The following is a 16,696-nucleotide window of genomic DNA, read 5'->3' as shown; positions in this document are numbered from 1 at the left end:
TAGTTTTAGTTATTGGAGCTTTTGTTAACACTAGACTTGTTTTTGAGTTACATTATTAAGAGTGTTGGAATTCATTTAAGTTTAATGTAGTTCTAGTGCTTGTAAAATGGTGCCCTTTCATTTAGTATGATTTTTTTCAAACCGTGTCTTCAAGTACTATATTATTATCCTTCAGAAGAATTTTAGGCTGGCTGGATGCGGTGGCTCATGCCTGTAATTCCCAGCTGTAGGGGCCAGCCCTACAGGGTCTGTGGGTTTTTCTCCTCGTGTGCGGAGACAAGAGATGGTAGAAATAAAGACACAAGACAAAGAGATAGAATAAAAGACGGCTGGGCCCGGGGGACCACTACCACCAAGATGCGGAGACCAGTAGTGGCCCCAAATGCCAGATTGAGCTGTTATTTATTAGATACAAGGCAAGGGGCAGGGTAAGGAGTATGAGTCGTCTCCAATGACAGGTAAGGTCACCCAAGTCACGTGTCCACTGGACAGGGGACCCTTCTCTGTTTGGCAGCTGAGGCGGAGAGAGAGACGTGACAGCTTACGCCATTACTTCTGCATTTCAAAGACTTTTAGTACTTTCACTAATTCTGCTACTGCTATCTAAAAGGCGGAGCCAGGTGTTCAGGACTAGGAGCGTGACCGCTGAAGCACAGCATCACAGGGAGACGGTTAGGCCTCCAGATGACTGCAGGCAGGCCTGACTCATGTCAGGCCCTCCACAAGAGGTGGTGGAGCAGAGTCTTCTCTAACTCCCCCGGGGAAAGGGAGACTCCCTTTCCCGGTCGGCTAAGTAACGAGCGCCTTTTCTTTTCTTTTTTTTTTTTTTTACTCTTAGGTATAAAGTTTATTGAGATTTTTAGATAGCAATGAAAATAAGCATGACATATCTCAGATCTATAGGAAATCAGGGAAGATTAAACAAAAATAAAAAGTATATTTAAAAAGAGTGCCTTTTCTAGGCACTGACGCTACCGCTAGACCACGGTCCGTTAGGTGACAGGCATCTTCCCAGACGCGGGCGTTACCGCTAGACCAAGGAGCCCTCTAGTGGCCCTGTCCGGGCATAACAGAAGGCTCACACTCTTCTGGTCACTTCTCACCCTGTCCCTTTAGCTCCTATCTCTGTATGGCCTGGTTTTTCCTAGGTTATAATTGTAGAACAAAGATTATTATAATACTGGAATAAAGAGTAGTGCTACAAACTAATGAAGAATGATATTCATATGTAATCATATCTATAATCTATTTCTAGTATAACTATTCTTATTCTATATATTTTCCTCATTATACTGGAACAGCTCGTGCCCTCTGTCTCTTGCCTTGGCACCTGGGTGGCTTGCCGCCCACACCCAGCACTTTGGGAGGCCGAGGCAGGTGGATCACTTGAGGTCAGGAGTTAGAGACTAGCCTGGCCAACATGGTGAAACCCCATCCCTAGTAAAAATACAAAAAATTATCCGGGCGTGGTGGCATGCACCTGTAATCCCAGTTACTTGGGAGGCTGAGGCAGGAGAATAGCTTGAACCTGGGAGGCAGAGGTTGCAGTGAGCCGAGATCACACCACTGCACTCCAGCCTGGGCAACAGAGCAAGACTCCATCTCAAAAAAAAAAGAAGAAGAAGAAGAAGAAGAAGAGGAAGAAGAAGAAGGAGAAGGAGAAGGAGAAGGAGAAGGAGAAGGAGAAGGAGAAGGAGAAGGAGAAGAAGAAGAAGAAGAAGAAGGAAGAAGAGGAGGAGGAGGAGGAGAAGAAGAAGAAGAATAATAAGAATAATTTTATAGGCTGATGGTAAGTGTCCTCATTTTGCCTTTTAATTGAAATGTTAAGGTTCCTATTATACCATCAGGCATCATTGTGTGTACAGACCTTTTGCATGAGTGAGTGAATGGCTGGAGAAGCGAGCGAGGGCTATGAACAGTGTGAATAGAGGCCGTCAACTAGTAGTGTGCTCTTGATCTTTGCAGTAAACTAAGCTTAGATAATATAACATCATATAGTTTTTTAGTATTTACTTTGGTTGTTTCTTTTTTAAAGTGAGGAGTTGTATTTTCCCAATTATTCTTTTGGTGTTAATTAATCTGAAGGTTTTTTTTAAATGGTTAATATTAAAAATTGCTATTATGCAGTCTGCCTAAAAGGAAGTTTGAGTAAATGTCATTTCTGAAGGATACTCCAGTTTATAAGGTAGGAACAATTTCCCAGATTCAGGCTGAACCGTAGGAACAATTTCCCAGATTCAGGCTGAACCGAGACATTTACTCTGCCAGAAGGACCCACTGGGGCATATTTGGGCTAATCGGAGTTTAGTAACTTCCTCACTTTCTAACCCTATTTAAAAAATAATCAGTCCAGGCGCGGTGGCTCATGCCTGTAATCCCAGCACTTTGGGAGGCTGAGGTGGGCAGATCACCTAAGGTCAGGAGTTCGAGACCAGCCTGACCAACATGGAGAAAGCCCGTCTCTACTAAAAATACAAAATCAGCCGGGTGTGGTGGCACACGCCTATAATCCCAGCTACTAGGGAGGCTGAGGCAGAAGAATCACTTAAACCTGGGACGCAGAGGTTGTGGTGAACCGAGATGGCGCCATCGCACCCCAGCCTGGGCAACAAGAGCGAAACTCCATCTCAAAAAAAAAAAAGAAAGAAAGAAAAAGAAACAATCTTCATTATAGAAAATTCAAATTGAAAAGAAGGAGGGAAGAAATTAAGCAAAATCAACTATCATCCTCTGTGTTGAAATAATCAACGTAAATATTTTAATAAATACCATTTGTCCTTTTATTTTGCTAAATATGTATATTTTTATTAAAATGCACTCATATTATGCAAGTTATGTAGCCTGCTTTTTTCACTTAACAATATATTGTGAACATCTTTTATTTATTTATTTTTTTGGGGACAGAGTCTCACTCTGTCGCCCAGGCTGGAGTGCAGTGGCAGGATCTAGGCTCACTGCAACTTCCATCTCCCAGGTTCAAGTGATTCTCCTGCCTCAGCCTCCTGAGTAGCTGGGATTGCAGGCATGTGCCACCATGCCCAGCTAATTTTTGTGTTTTTACTAGAGATGGGGTTTCACCACGTTGGCTACCCTGCCCTCGGACTGACCTCATGTGATCCACCCGCCTCTTCCTCTCAGTGTGCTGGGATTACAGGCTTCAGCCACCAGGTCTGGCCTGTGAACATCTTTTCTAGGTCAAAAAGAAAAATAAAGAGATGTTTGTATGATTTTATTATCATATAGAATTTATTAAAGAAGAATCTCAGTGTTAATTACTTTCCAATTGAGTTTAGACAAAATAAGTTCACAGGCTGAGATGGAAAATTCCTTCCATGAAATCAAGTGAACTAATGAGAAAGGAACAGTAGCAGAAGTTCACACTACAGCTTAGCCCCAATTTACTCAAAAAGAAACCTGATTTAAATGCATACACTAAATGGTTAGGAAGAAACCCTTCGACTCCTCATTACTGCTAAAAGAAAAAATTCTTAACGCTGCCAATGCGCCGATGGGTCAAGCAAAAGCTGGAAATTCTGTTAATTTGGAAGTAAATAAAGGCAAACATTTCCATGGCTTTTTGGGGAGAAAAATATCCTTCACCTTTTCCAAGAAGAACATTACTTCCTAGAGAACAGGGGCGATCAGTAAGCATGCCAAAAAAAGAAGAAAAAAAAAAACACATGTCTTAATAATCTCAACACTTGAAAGTCTGAAAATAGTTTAACCTTCCAATGAGTCAGAAAGCTCAGATCTGGCTGAGTCGCTGGAAAGCAGCTCCAAAGAAGGACTGGATGCAGACACGCACGGTTGACAGGCGGCAGGCAGTGGCAGACTGACATAGATATGGTTATGTTTCCAGTACCGTGTGGACTTCTGCCTTATGGGGGCAGATTATGAAAATAGACCGGGCTGGTTCTGTCTTCCACTCAGAAGTGAGCGCTTTACAAAACTGAGAAAAGCTGGGCAAAGGACTAGTGACTCAGGTACCAGGAGGGTGGCTCTCCAAAACGCCACTGCAGTCTGCAACAGGCATTTTCTACTCAGCCCTGAGTGTGAAGGGCTCTACGTGCCTGGAAAGGAAGTATTTATGGATGAAGGGATTAGAGCTCATGACTCTTGCTAAAGCTGGGCTCTGAAAGAAGCAATTGTTTGGTACGCTCCATTTTGGGGAATGGAAGCAGAGGGAAAAAGTCCAGCCAAGCTCTATTTATCACGCAGAAGAAAGTTTATCATTACAAACCAGAGACAATGACTGGAGCATTCAGGTGATTCCTTAAATCTTGCAGTTTCTAGTGTTTGTTACTATTTTTATAACTTTATTTCTTGTGGTTACTATTGCTGCATAGAAACCACTCCAAACATAGAGGTGTGAAAAAACCACTATATTCTGTTGATGGGGAATCTGGGCAGAACAAGATGGCAATGGCTTGACTCTGCTCCACAGTGGCTGGTGCCTCAGTTGGGAAGACTTCAAGACAGGACATAAGTTGGGATGGGAGCCTAGAACCATCTGAGGGCACCTTCACTCCTGGGCAGAAGCCAACTGGAGAACCCACATGGCTCTTTGATGTGGTTTGCCTGTGTCGTTTGCACAGCAGAGTGATCTCAGGGTAGGTGGACTTTTTACCTAGTGGCTCAGGACACAAGGTTAAACCTGCATCACCTCTTCTAGTCTTGCCTCAGAAGTCTGTGCTATCCCCTATACTACATTCTATTGGCAACACGTACATCACAAGTAGGGGCACAGAGTCCACCCCTGGTCGAAAGGAATGCCCAGGCCACGCTGTGGAGGAGCGCGCAGGATGGCATGGGGCCATCTTTAGAAAACACAGTCCAATCCATTCAGCTATTTGTCCATATAGATGAATGTGACTAGGAGTAAAACACTGAAACGAAATTATGTCTGTGTGGGAAAATGTGCCTTTTGAGAAAACAAGGGCGGTAGCCCTGGGACCTCCTTAGACGATGAGACCTCCTGCAGAAGCTGAGCAGGAGAACACAGCAGGTTGGCCTGGGCCTAAAAAGTGAGTCTGAGCTGGGCGCAGTGGCTCACGGCTGTAATCCCAGCACTTTGGGAGGCCAAGGTAGGCAGATCACCTGAGGTCAGGAGTTCGAGACCAGCCTGGCCAACATGGCGAAACCCCATCTCTACTAAAAATACAAAAATTAGCTGGGCATGGTGGTGCATGCCTATAATCCCAGCTACTAGGGAGACTGAGGCAAGAGAATCGCTTGAACCCGGGAGGCAGAGCTTGCAGTGAGCCAAGATCGTGCCACTGCACTCCAGCCTGAGTGACAGAGTGAGACTCCATCTCACAAAAAAAAAAAAAAAAAAAAAGAAGTGAGTCTGAAAGTGAGCCCTAGGAAAGCCTGTGACAGTTAGACACTGCATGCACCATCTTACTGCTATGTACACTGGGACCTGTTGGAAGGTTTCTCATAATCTTCCAAAATTGCTTCCTTTTGCTCATCCATGTGATCTGAAGACACCTGCACTATCTCCCTAATAGCCTTGCTATCCTAAGTGATGGACTCAGGCTTTCTTGGCAAAGCTAAAACACATCTCATCTCATTTCAGCTTGGCAAAGCCACCATACAACTTAAGGGAGCTGTTTGGCAGAAGACCTACTGATGTGATCATGAGGGCTTTAAAATTAAAATTCAAGGAAATAGAGAAAATACAAATATAAACTATAAAACCAGGAAGTGGATAATACCTAATCCTGTGACTTCAGATAGATTTCTACTAGTGCTGAGAGGCTGGGATGACAAATTATATTTACTTTTTTAATACAAGATAATAAAGCTTGGCAGTACCTAGCGTCTTTCTCCCTCCCTCCAGTCCTGCTTCTTGTAAACACTCTCTTTTCCCAGAATCTTTCTTTCCTGCAGGGAAGCAAGATTCAGGGAAAATGATACTTAGACTCTGATATTCTCTTGTTAAGAAACCACACCCCTCTCTCACATCCTCCTAAACACATACATTCTTCAGATTCCTCTGAGAGAAGAATTTGAAGAGCCTCCCAGATGTTGGAAACTGAATGCAGTAACCAGAATAAGATGTAACCGGTCCAGGAAGGTTGGGCCCCGTAACTGACCATGCCTGTGTTAAGCAGATTAACAGGGAGAGGCTCCCTAATGGAAACTGATATTTATTCTGGAATAGGGCATTGCAATGGGAATACATGTGCCATAATAAACCATGTGGGTATTCAGAAAGATAAAGGAAGACAAAGGTTTTTAAAGGAAAAATGAGGACAATTATGTAACTGTTTTGAGATCATTAACCTTGGCTATGAGCATCAATAAAAAGGGTGGCACAAGGCCAATGTTGGAAAGGCAGTTGCTGGGCAGATGTCGTTGTGTAAGTATTTTTTTGTGTATGTAAGGTTGTGATGGCCTTTGTGCAAGGTGGTGATTTTTTCAGTCCTTTGGAAAAGATTTTGTTATCAGGCATTTATACACGGGAGCTCTCTCTTTGTAGCCTTCCCCAGCTCTATTTGTCAAGGTTTAAAAATTTTTATTCAACACAAGTGACTCCATTTTGATTCTGACAACTTTCCTACCTTTGACAAATCAGCCTGCCCTAGCTACAGAAAGGGAATACAGGCCATCCATTAGACAAGGCTTAAAACCAAGGTCAGACATCTCAGGAACCAACACAGGGGGTTAGAATAAAAGGGGCATTACAGAGTGTAGACAACCTGCTCTGCAGTACCTAACACTGCAGGATGGGGCACGCGCGACCAACATTACTGTGCATCCCATCCCCTCCTCTCAAGCTTCAGGCAAGACCTCAACATGCCTAAGAAATATCTGGCCACTGCAGAAGGGAAACCATCTTAATCACGGGAGAATATAAAGGAGAGGGAGAATACAAAGCTGTGACAATAGCTCTCCAAGATAATATGTGTTTAACCTAAAACAAAGATAGTCCACCAGCGTCATCTGGTGGATGAATGTATTATCACCCCCTTCAGGACATGCCTGGTCCCCAGGCCCTCTTCCCCTAAGCAGAGCCCAGGACCCCTGGGGGATCCTTCAGGAGCTTCGGAAGCATCTTACCATGCATCTGTCCTAAGGTTTTGGTGATGTCCTGAATAGACAGTCTCAGTCGCTGCAGGGCTTGGAGCAGGGCCTCCTGGTTGGGCTGCAAGATAGCATTCGTGGCCTGAACAAGAGCCTAGGGATGAGATGCATGTACACAACTTATTAGCACTCCCTTAAAGTCCATGCAGGCAGAGTAAGCCTCATACTGTTGGAACCCAGGGGAGGACCGGACAGTTTGTCAGAGCTTCCTGGGAACGTCCTAAGCTAGATCCACTGTGGGGTTGGCCTGACAGCCAGAAGCTCCCTGGGGACCTCCCAGACAGACCCCTAGGTAAGTGTTTCTGGAATTTCATCTGGCTGTTACTTCTTGCACCTCCCAAGGGCCTGAGTACTATTATTTTACTCTTCTTCTCTCGGATTTGTCACGTTATGATCAGTTCTACTGCATCTCCAACTGGGGCATCCTTGCTCCGAAGCTCTCATATAAAGTCAGATTTAAATCTGTGTTGAAATCTGTGTCCCCACCCAAATCTCATCTTGGATGGTAATCCCCACAGGCTGATGGAGGGACCTGGTGGGAGGTGATTGAATTATGGGGGTGGGCTCTCCCATACTGTTCTCATGATACGAGGGAGAGTTTTCACAAAATCTGATTGTATAAAAGTGTTTGGCAGCTCCCCCCTTTGCTCTCTCTCCTGCTGCCTCGTGAAGAGGTTCTTGCTTCCCCTTCACTTTCCTCCATGGCTGTAAGTTTCCTGAGGCCTCCCCATCCATGCAGAACTATGAGTCAATTAAACTTCTTTCCTTTATAAATTACCCAGTCTCAGGTAGTATGTTTATAACAGTGTGAAAATGGACTAATACACAGACAGATTCTACAGAGCCCCCAGCTCTAGAATCCCCTCTGCTGGGAAGACTTCCTTGTCTTCCTTGAGTCTCTACTTCATCTGAACTACACTTGGAAGGCCGATATTTGACTCTGTATCTTCTAATGGACTAAACACATGGATGAGAACTAAAGTAACCATGGAGTTTAACTACTGAGAGAGAAAGAAAGCGCTATAATATAGCAGAAATGGGTCACCCTATTGAGGACCAGTAGGTGCTCAACATATGCTTATCAAGGGAGGTAGTGTTGGCTGGGCAGGGTGGCTCACACCTGTAATCCCAGCACTTTGGGAGGCTGAGGCAAGCAGATCACGAGGTCAGGAGTTCGAGGCCAGCCTGACCAACATGGTGAAACCCTGTCTCTACTAAAAATACAAAAATTAGCCAGGCGTGGTGGCGTGCACTACTTAGGAGGCTGAGGGAGGAGAATTGCTTGAACCTGGGAGGTGGAGATTGCAGTGAGCTAAAACCACGCCATTGCACTCTGGCCTGAGCGACAGAGCGAAGGCAGAAATCTAACTGAAATATTTTTAGGCAAGGCATTAACGCTGTAGTTGATCACAAGCTGCATCACTGTCTTTTGTCTTCTATCCAGCCTTCCTGATACCTGTCTGACTCCTGAAGAATTTCCAGTTTGAGGCCCGGTGCAGTGGCTCACACCTGTAATCCACGTTAATCCATCTTCATCCACTGTATCCATCATAAGCTTCTGTCAGGGCTGGGAAAATGTCTGTCTTGTTCGATCCAATTTCCCATTGCCCAAACCAATGCCTGTTTGTTGAATGGACAAAAGGTCCATTCCGAGTTTTATAGGAATTGAGAAAAGGGAGCAAATATGGTGGCCTAGAGCTTAGATCTCTTCTCTCAGACTTGAACTAAGCAGGACAAGGTCTATGTTCATTTGTGTTGAGAAATCCACTGCAGGAAAGGCACTGAGTGGGAAGTAAAGCTCAAGCTCATTTAAAAAGAAAAGGTGCTATCAAGTGAGAAGATACCTTTATCCCAGGCACTGCTTCTTTCTCTACCAAAGCAGTCACCAGTATAAAACCATGCAGGCTCTCTCCCCCAGGAAATGAGATGATGGTCTCCAGGTTCCTTGGGAAGGAGAGGAGCACATGATTAGAGGTGTGGAGACTGTACCGTGAGTACTCACTGCCCAGAGTTCCCTGCCGAGTTAGATAACTGCAGGGTGGAATCACTGCACAACTTTCTCCTCTCCGTAAGACAGCCCTGAGGATGGGCATCTACCTTCAGCAACATTCAGGGAGGAAAGAGAACAGATAAGTTCAATTTCATGTTCACCTGACAGGCAGCCTCCCAATGTCTAGCATGGCCCTAATGGTCCTGGACCATCTCCGCAGTGGAATAACTGGCTGAATGAGAAGTTCCTAGTAAGAGATGTAGCTGATTCTCCACAGGGCTAGAGAGACCCAGGCAACAGCCAAGTCCATGCTCTTTTTTTTGCAGGTATGAAACCATGGCCCAGAGAAGCAAAGCAGCTTGTCCAAGGTCATATAGCCAGCTAATCGCAGGACCAGGCTGGGAAGAGTTTCACAACTCAGGCCAGTGCTGCCTCTAATCTGTTTATGTGTGTATTAGTTCATTCTTACACTGCTATAAAGAAATACCTGAGACTGGGTAATTTATAAAGAAACGAGGTGTAATTGACTCAGAGATCCTTAGGCTTACCAGGAAGCATGGCTAGGAGGCCTCATGAAACTTTTCAATCATGGTGGAAGGGTAAGCAAGCATCTTACATGGCGGCAGGAGGTGGGGGAAGTGCCACACTTTTAAACCATCAGATCTTGTGAGAACTGGCCAGGCACAGTGGCTCACGCCTGTAATTCCAGCACTTTGGGAGAGCGAGGTAGGCAGATTACCTGAGGTCAGGAGTTCGAGATCAGCCTGGCCAACATGGTGAAACTCCGTCTCTACTAAAAATACAAAAATTAGCTGGGCATGGCGGGGCATGCCTGTAATCCCAGCTACGCAAGAGACTGAGGCAAGAGGTTGCAGAGAGCCGAGATGACACCACTGCACTCCAGCCTGGGAGATAGAGTGAGACTCTGTTGCAATAATAATAATAATAATAATAATAATGAGATATTGTGAGAACTCACTATCATGAGAATAGCATTGGGGAAATCCAACCCCATGATCCTGTCACCTCCCACTGGATCCCTCTCCTGACATGTGGGGGTTACAATTTGACATGAGATATGGGTGGGAACACAGGGCCAAATTCCGTCTATCTATCTATCTATCTATCTATCTATCTATCTATCTATCTATCTCAATGCTGTACAATCGAATGGGATCTGGAAGGCTGTTACAGAGGAATCATTTCTAAATGATCTGCTGTCATTTAAATGGAGTAAAACATCTACAAAACCTAAAACCTTAACTCTAAGGATCATATTTGCCCTTCACATTTTAAGCATGAGACAAAGATGAAAAACAAACCAATGTCAAACCAAACCAAACCAAGACAAAGTCAAGACTTACATTGTTCCAGCAGCAACATTAGCTTGGGAAATGATGTCTTCACCTTCTGTGCCCCCATCTGCCCAGTTTTTCTACTGGACACTCTTATTTGATGAGTTTGGCGATAGAAGCTGAGGTTTGGTGATGGGAGAGGCAACACTGGATCAGAGGCTATTTTTGTTTTCCAGGAGAAGCGGAGCCTAAGGATGTGTGGACCAGACCTGCCCCATGAGCTCCAGTCTATGTAATAACAAGGTCTTTTGAAGGGATTTTTCTGTAGACAATCTGCAATCTGGCCTCCCATAGAAGATATAGTGAGATGAGAAATATTTTTTTCACACTATTAAACTTCAACTGGGTGCAGTGGCTCACGCCTGCAATCCCAGCACTTTGGGAGGCCAAGGCGGGTGGATCACCTGAGGTCAGGAGTTCAAGACCTGCCTGGCCAATATAGTGAAACGCTGTCTCAACTAAAAATACAAAAATTAGCCAGGTGTGGTGGTGGGTGCCTGTAATCTCAGGTACTCGGGAGGCTGAGGCAGGAGAATCCCTTGAACCCAGAGGCAGAGGTTGCAGTGAGCCGAGATCACACCACTGCACTCCAACCTGGGCAACAGACTAAGACTCAGTCTCAAAAAAAAAATTAAACTTCAAGGAGTTACTGAAATTTGATAAAGTTTCATTTTGTTTTGTTTGCATTGCACATTACTTGTTTTATTATGTACAGACTGGAAAATACAGTAAAAAAAAATCCCTTATCTATACAAGGAAGAGGCAATCACTGTTAAATTTTAGACTGTGAATTTTAGGCACATTTCCTTCTAGTATATTTTTTATGCATTTTATATGGTTGATATTATATTATACATATAATTTAGCATGCTTTGTTCTTTGTTTTATTGTAAGATTTTAAATTTGGCCTGGATTCTAAAGTGCGTAAATGATTTCTGAGAACTTACCCAATTTCCAGGAATCTAGCCCAATTTCAGTTATTGATGACCACCAAGAGAGAAAAAAAATAAAAGAACAATTCAGTTTGTAAACCAGATATATTAATAACTTCTAGGGTCACATGTCCACAGGCATGCACACTTGTGTGCAAGGCACTGCAGGCACACACACATCCACACTTACTTTGAATTCTGCAAGTTGTGGCTGGACTATGGGGTGCTATGTGATAAAGGGTGAGCGACATTTCCACTCACATTCCAGCCCCAGAATATTTGGCCTGTGGCCATCTTAATATATTATTAGGCTGGGCACAGTGGCTCATGCCTGTAATCCTAGCACTTTGGAAGGCTGAGGCAGGTGGATTATGAGGTCGAGGATTCGATACCAGACTGGCCAACGTGGTAAAACCCCATCTCTCTAAAAATACAAAAATTAGTCGGGTGTGGTGGTAGGTGCCTGCAATCCCAGCTACTCAGGAGGCTGAGGCAGGAGAATTGCTCAAACCCAGGAGGCAGAGGTTGCAGTGAGCCGAGATCATGCCACTGCACTCCAGCCTGGGAGACAGAGGGAGACTCCGTCTCTGAAAATAAATAAATAAATAAATAAGTTATTTCACTCATCTTACATTTTTGTATTTACCACAACCCCACATTTTATTCTAGCTAGTTGATTCCTACTCAACTTTTAGGATTTGCCTTACATCAAGTTCTGCCTCATCACCAAGATTTTTACTGACTTGTAAAGCCTGCATTGATGTCATTTCTCTGAAATTCTAAAGGACATATTGTTTGAGTCACTCTTTGACATTTGTCATGTAGTGTCTTGTTATTTAACCACATGGGGAGTACTTTGCTTCTATTTCTTTCATTTCTTCATAGCACTTAGCTCTGTGTTAGGCATATTAAAAGGCTTCAAAAGGTAATTACCAAGCAGAATAATTGGTGAGACCCAGGACTGTGTCCGCATCTCTGGAATTAAACTAGCCCTTCACTCTTACTCCCTAGGAAGCTATTAATAGCTTTTTTGTTATTGTTTTGTTTTGTTTTGTTTGTTTTTGAGATAGGATCTCACTCTGTCACCCAGGCTGGAGTGCAGTGGTGCAGTCTCAGCTTACTGCAACCTCTGCCTCCCAGGTTCAAGTGATTCTCCTGCCTCAGCCTCCTGAGTAGCTGGGATTGCAGGCACCCACTGCCACACCTGGCTAATTTTTGTATTTTTAGTAGAGAGGGGGTTTGGCCATGTTGGCCACGCTGGTCTCAAACTCCTGATCTCAGGTGACCTGCCCACCTGGGCCTCCCAATGTGCTGGGATTATAGGCATGAGCCGCTGCACCTGCCTGTTGTTGCATTTTTGACTACCATTCTAGTACAGTCATTTTTCCCTTCAACCTTCTCTTATTCTGTCTTTCTCTTTGAGTAATAAATCCAGCTTATTCAATATTCAGTACCTTGAACAGAATAAATTACGCACATATATTATTTTTTTCATCCAAATTCTTACCCAGATTCAGCAGCTTTCAGTAGTCACCCATTTTATTATTAAAGCATAATTAATCAAGGATCACAATTCATAATTGCAGAAAACATAAAACTCCAGGGCTCAGAGCTCCCGAGAGAGATGAGATGGCCGAATCTCACTTCTTCCAATGGGGCACATAATTTTTTTTTCTTTTGAGACAGAGTTTGTCACCTAGGCTGGAGTGCAATGGCATGATTTCGCTCACTGCAACCTCTACTTCCTTCGTTCAAGCAATTCTCCTGCCTCAGCCTCCCGAGCAGCTGGCATTACAGGTATGTGCCACCATGCCCGGCTAATTTTTTTGTATTTTTAGTAGAGACGGGGTTTCACCATGTTGGCCAGGCTGGTCTTCAACTCCTGACCTCAGATGATCCACCTGCCTCAGCCTCCCAAAGTGCCGGGATTACAGGGGTGAGCCACCGGGCCCGGCCGGGGCACATAAATTAGTCTTAAAATCTAGGCTGTCTACTAAATATGTAACCCTTTTAAGTAGATTCCCATCATCGCCTCTGGCAATCCCATGGCTGAGGAAGTTCTTCCTCATATCAAACCTCAGTGAATCTTCAGCTGTTGTAGTCAGCCACAAAAGAAAGTGCTGTCTCTTTCATCTAGAGCTGAAATAAATTTGGCTGCAAAAATTAAGGTGAAAGGAAAATTTAACATCTCAGATCATCTGTCTAATTCTGTTTGTTGAATTTCTTGTTTGTTAAAATCTCATGCTATTCCTTCTGTAGACAAATGCCCCTATTCCCAGCCCAACTGTCAAAGGAATGATGTGACTTTGGTGGAATAGATGGAATTATTAATCAAATTCTCAATCCAACCCACCTGGAGCATCTGCTCTGAATTCATCCATAATCATTCTCTTCTGATCATTATATAATGATTACTTATCAAAGCCAACTGGTTTTAACCTGATATGAATGGAGGGCATCTTAGGGAATAAACAGTTTGAAGAGAAAGAACAAATAAAAGCTGATTTTGCAGGAGCTTGAAGGTCAGGTTGAGAAATTCACACGTCATGTGGAAACAAACAAGACAAAATGGTCTGAGCCAATGTGTTCAGAATGGATTAAGAGGAAACTTCTGGGGCCTGTGATATTTGAATTTTTGGTCAAGCTCACCCCTTCTTTGGAACCATACGGCAGACCATAAATATGAACTTCCCTAATTATAAAAAAAAGCCTGGGTGTTTCCTGGGGGAAAGTTATGGAAATTCAAAGCATTCTCTTCCTTCCTTACCCGTCTGGATCTTTTTTGGTCCAGTTCGTCAGCACCAAGTCTGAGTGGACCAGGATAGGAGGGAGCCCCAAGTTCCTGGAGACTTCGACAAATGGAAGGGCAAGATTCCTTGGCAGGACCTTTCAGATATAAATCCAGACAAATAGCATATTCTAGAAAGCTTGCAGCAGAGGAAATAACCATGGTTGTCTTTTATTTCGGCAATCCTGTGGTACAGAAATGATCTGGGAACCAAGCTTGAATTACCTGAGTGATGCACATTCATATGCCGCACACATATCTTTCTGTTAATGACCCAGTGGAAATACTGCTTATGAGTACACGGTGCAATATATGTGAAAATTACAACGCTGGACCACACATACATATAGAATATAAAATAACCTCTGTAAACTGACTGTGCAAAGAAAGGCATTACCAAAACAATTAAACATAAACTGGGGCCCGAGAATATTATCAACGGAAAAAAATTTTGATAGATAGGTAAGTAGATGGAAGGATAGAAATATATATATACATATATATATATATATACACACATATATAGAGAGAGATGATAGATACATAGATAGATGATAGAGAGATGATAGCTAGCTAGATAGATAGATGATAGATCAGTAGACAGATGATAGATAGATTTATTGATTGACCGACTCATAGAGATACAAAGCTAGATGCAGAAACCTGTGTGTGCACCTAGGTATGAGCCTGGGAGACCACAGTGCCCTAGAAAAGCATGAGGACAGACTGCCTCAGCCTGTGGGGAAACTGACTCCGTCTCTTACTCCATAAGTCAAACCCAGTAATACCTTCAAGTAAGCCACCACAGGACAGACCCCCTTCAACCTTTTTTATCCAAGGAACCCTCCACGGCTCTTTATCAGCCAGAAGTCCAGAAAAGCTGTATGAGGTTCTCTATCGGAGGTAAAGGCTGAACGAGTCTAGATTCAAACCCCATCCTTGTGCCCCCTCTTCCATCTCCATTTTCATTTCTCCTTAAGATAAAATATCCATTAAGAATGCCCTGCTTTTGTCTTCATTTTTCCCTTGAATTTTTTCTCGGGTGGAAAACACTAAAGAGCTTTAATGAGTCTTGCAATGTGAACCTCGGGTAAACTTTCCTCAGAAGGCATTGGAGAGCCAGGTACTTTCTGAGCTGAAAAGTCAAGGGAGGAGAAACAAAGAAAGTGAAAGGTGATCTGAGGCGGGGTGGTGGGTGTGGGGAGCCTCCGGGTCCCCTGGAACTACCAGGGCACAGCTGGGAGGTGGAGACTTCTTTCCACTGTCACTCTTCTCTCCCCCAAACCCCAATTTAGGATAATGGTTTGCAGAGGGGATGGTATAAAGAGGACCCACTGGGACGTGCCTAGACTTCAAACTTTTCAGCATCAGACACACTTTTAAAAATGCACGCCGGGCACGGTGGCTCACGCCTGTAATCCCAGCACTTTGGGAGGCGAAGGCGGGCAGATCACGAGGTCAAGAGATCGAGACCATCCTGGCTAACATGGTGAAACGCCGTCTTTACTAAAAATATAAAAATTAGCCAGGCGTTGTGGTGGGCGCCTGTAGTCCCAGTTACTTGGGAGGCTGAGATAGGAGACTGGCGTGAACCTGGGAGGCGGAGCTTGCAGTGAGCCAAGATCGTGCCACTGCACTCCAGCCTGGGTGACAGAGTGAGACTCCGTCTCGAAAAAAAAAAAAAAAATGCAATGCACTGGCCGGGTGCTGGGGCCCATGCCTGTAATCACAGCACTTTGGGAGGCTCAGGTGGGTGGATCACCTGAGGTCAGGAGTTCGAGATCAGCCTGGCCAACGTGGTGAAACCCGTCTCTACTAAAAATACAAAAAAAATTAGCTGGCCGTGGCGGCAGGTGCCTGTAATCCCAGCTACTCAGGAGACTGAGTCAGGAGAATCCCTTGGACCCAGGAAGCCGAGGTTGCAGTGAGCCGAGATCACGCCACTGCACTCTAGCCTGGGCGACAAGAGTGAAACTCTGTATCAAAAAAAGAAAAAGAAAAAGAAAAGAGATGCATTGACAAATAACAAGGCTGCAATGACTCTACACTTTTCCTCTTCCCTGAGTCTCCTGTGTTTCCCCGAGAGACAAGAGGTAGGATCAATCAGGCAAACACGATGGGCACAGGCTGTTCTCTTCACCGTGGAGTTCTAGGACATGGGTAACTCCCTGATTTCTGGGGAAGGCACACTTTTAAAAATAACAGTAACTTTTAAAAACAGTTACTTCCAAAAATAAAAGTAAAAGACACTGTGGGTGGAAACTGTACAAAGTTATGCAATGATTCAGAAGAGATTTGGATGAATTATTAAAAGACAGACTAATAATTGGCTGGATAGAAAGCAGTATTAAAAAAAAAATAAAGATGAGTGTTGTAAATGTCAATGTGTCCCCTGGGGAAAGAAGGCTGCACTAGTAAAATCAGAAGACCTGGGTTCTGGCCTTGGCTTTTCCACTAATTTGCTGTCTGACCTTGATTAAGGAAATAAGTGTCTGTGCTTTTCAGTTGTAAAATGGGCCGGTATGGCTCTTGTTACTTTACA

General features: G+C 44.0%; 1 protein-coding gene across 2 annotated transcripts in view, besides 2 other annotated features; it reads right to left on the bottom strand.

The window, feature by feature from the left end:
* IDO2 (indoleamine 2,3-dioxygenase 2) overlaps positions 1-16,696 on the bottom strand; it is an 81,742-nt gene that overhangs the window by 19,489 nt on the left and 45,557 nt on the right. For both annotated transcript variants that reach the window (NM_194294.5, NM_001395206.1), the window contains 4 exons: positions 14,134-14,252; positions 11,382-11,396; positions 8,934-9,033; positions 7,066-7,183 (listed from right to left, as the gene is read on the bottom strand). In NM_194294.5, coding sequence (NP_919270.3) covers positions 7,066-7,183; positions 8,934-9,033; positions 11,382-11,396; positions 14,134-14,252 — 352 coding nt within the window. The remainder of the gene's footprint in view (positions 1-7,065; positions 7,184-8,933; positions 9,034-11,381; positions 11,397-14,133; positions 14,253-16,696) is intronic.
* Positions 691-770: an enhancer, noted in NCBI's record as "active region_27280". NCBI's record gives its function as "activates an Ori minimal core promoter by ATAC-STARR-seq in GM12878 lymphoblastoid cells {active_cell/tissue: GM12878}" and the evidence as "EXISTENCE:reporter gene assay evidence [ECO:0000049][PMID:35858748]".
* Positions 5,880-6,174: a silencer, noted in NCBI's record as "tiled region #1248; HepG2 Repressive non-DNase unmatched - State 23:Low, and K562 Repressive non-DNase unmatched - State 23:Low". NCBI's record gives its function as "represses a minimal TATA promoter and a strong SV40 promoter by Sharpr-MPRA in HepG2 and K562 cells {active_cell/tissue: HepG2 | K562}" and the evidence as "EXISTENCE:reporter gene assay evidence [ECO:0000049][PMID:27701403]".

This window comes from Homo sapiens, chromosome 8 (genome assembly GCF_000001405.40).
Source record: "Homo sapiens chromosome 8, GRCh38.p14 Primary Assembly".
NCBI lineage: Eukaryota > Metazoa > Chordata > Mammalia > Primates > Hominidae > Homo > Homo sapiens.
This window is presented reverse-complemented; position numbering and strand designations above follow the sequence as displayed.